We start from the raw sequence: 2,565 nt of genomic DNA, 5'->3' as shown, positions 1-2,565 counted from the left end.
CCCAGTGGGTTTCAAGACCAAGTAAGTACATACTAATAGTGACATCAATGACTAAATTTTTGTCAGTCTCTCAAAATTGAGAAGATGACCAAAGAGGGAAATTGTTAAGTTTAACCTAAAGCTGCCTCCCTACAAATGTTAAGTTTGGCCTAAATGTTTAGGCCAAAGATTTCCCTGTCCTTGAACTATAACAAGTAAACTTGTAAACAGACTGTAGCCTACATTTGTGCCAATCACTGAGATTTGGCTAATCAAATGTAGAAACCATGTTCAAATAAAGCAAACATTGAACTGTAACCAATCCAGGTGTTTCTGTACCTCATTTCAATTTTTTGTATATCACTTTCCTTTTTCTGTCCATAAACCTTCTTCCACCACACAGCTTCACTGAGTCTCTGAGTCTACTCTGGCTCAGGAGGCAGACCAATTTGCAAATTATTTATTGCTCAATATTCTTTGAAGTTTAATTTGGCTGAAGTTTTTCTTATAACAACTTCTGTGTGTTAAGCTAGCATAATTTTGGTTTTAGTTACAAACTATAGTAATTAGTTATGTGAAACACAAACATTTTATTAAAACCATTTAAGTTAAGGAATTTAGACACTTCTGTTATTCCACAAAGTTTTTTGGTGTGTAGTCTTTTTAGTAATTTGTACTAAGATCGCTGATTTAAAACAGCTTTCTATATGTATCTGTAAAAATTTCATAACTTGGAGCACTCTACCCAGGAGGCTTTGTCACTTAAGTATCTTAATATCCTGTAAGTAATTCTTTTTTAATTTTATGGAGAGTAGGTAATTCTTTATATTAGGATGAATGGAAAGAACCCAGGAGGCAAAGTTTCTTATTTTGTCAGCTGTTTAGGCATGTGTGCCTGTCCTTTATTTGAAGGGGCTAAACTAATTTTATCTCTCAAAACTGGCCCTTACAGTTCCACATGCTCAATTTTTCTACATGAGTGCCTGCACCTGTAAGAAAAGGTGTTTATATCGTTTTAGCAGTGGTACATTAGCAATAAAAATAGATTGGGCCCAGTGAGATTTAAAATAGTTTTAAATTTTGGAAATACCACATAGAAAGAGAAAGGTAAGTTTTGTTGTTTTACCCAATTTTATAAGCTACATATAGAATTGGCATTTTTTTGTACAGTCTTGCTCTGCCACCCAGGCTGGAATGCAGTGGCAGGATCTCAGCTGTCTGCAACTTCTGCCTCTCAGGTTCAAGTGATCCTCCTCTCTATGCCCCCCAAGTATCTGGAGTTACACGCGTGTGCCACTGCGCCTAGCTAATTTTTGTATTTTTAGTAGAGACAGGGTTTTACCACATTGGACAGGCTGGTTTCGAACACCTGGCCTCAATTAGTCCACCTGCCTTGGCCTCCCAAAGTGCTGGGATTACAAATGTGAGCCACCGCACCTGGCCCAGAATTAAAAATGTTTAAACACAAAGGACATAAGCCCTGCCTAGCTCTGACAATAACAGAAAAAAAAAACCCACAGGTAGCTAAACATTTAAATTATCTAGTTTTAAGGCATAGAACAAATTATATTAAAATAGAGGAAAATGATTTAGTATTTATGTCTTTGTATAGAGGCCTAGCACAGTATCACAAGAAAGTATATATATATATATATATATATATATATATATATATATATATATATAGAGAGAGAGAGAGAGAGAGAGAGAGAGAGAGAGAGAGAGAGACAGGGTCTCACTTTGTCACCCAAGCTGGAGTGCAGTGGCACCATCTCCACTCACTGCAGCCTCAACCTCCTGGGCTAAAGCAATCCTACCACCTTGGCCTCCCAAGTAGCTGGGACTACACGTATATTCCAACACACCCAGCTACTTTAAATTTTTTGTAGAGACGGGGTTTTGCCATGTTGCCCACAGGCTGATCTTGAACTCCTGAGCTCAAGTGATCCGCTTGCCTTGGTCTCCCAAAGTGCTGGGATTAAAGGTGTGAACCACCATGCCCAGCCTGGATTTTTTTTTAAATTTTTTTAATTTAAAAAACCACTCTGACTGCATCCACTCCCTCTTACACTCCTAGAGGAAGCGATGCATTGCCATCAATGGCAAATGGTAGTTGCATCAAAGCAATGCCAAAAGCTGGCTTCCCGTTCAGGAGAGAATGCTGCATCTCCTCGTGGTTTCTGGTGCTCAACACATTCAGAGAAACTTCTCTAATAACAAACTATAGAAATGACCCATGAAAGTATAGCATTAGCAAGTTGTTTTGACTCTCATCTTCTCCCAGGTTTGAAGGTGGGGCTTTCATTAACTAGAATTTGGTGCCAGATATCAGCATTGATGTTTAAGTTTCAGCAGGAGCCAGTGCTACCTTTTAGATGAGATAGAAGTACTCAGGAGTCAAAGCCCTGCAACTTAACAGCAAAAAGTTTAATTTACACTATTTGATAAAAACCCTTTTCAATGGCGCTGGAGGAGTCTCTCAGCTGATGCCCAATCATCAGCCTGGAGAGGGTGATACTGGAGTTCATGACTTAACTGGAAGCTGTAAGAAGATTTTATGACCTTGCAGTGGTTAATTTTTATAGT

The 2,565-nt window shown here is 38.5% G+C and overlaps 1 non-coding gene across 1 annotated transcript; it reads right to left on the bottom strand.

Annotated features, from left to right (window-relative positions):
- Positions 1 to 2,018: 2,018 nt before the first annotated feature.
- Positions 2,019 to 2,231, bottom strand: LOC124902100 (small nucleolar RNA U3). Its single transcript, XR_007061224.1, has one exon. It is a non-coding gene; the product is annotated as a small nucleolar RNA U3 (small nucleolar RNA).
- Between the last annotated feature and the right edge of the window lie 334 nt (positions 2,232 to 2,565).

Source organism: Homo sapiens, chromosome 8 (genome assembly GCF_000001405.40).
Source record: "Homo sapiens chromosome 8, GRCh38.p14 Primary Assembly".
Lineage (NCBI taxonomy): Eukaryota > Metazoa > Chordata > Mammalia > Primates > Hominidae > Homo > Homo sapiens.
The sequence above is the reverse complement of the archived record's forward strand: the minus strand, read 5'-3'. Positions and strand labels throughout refer to the sequence as shown.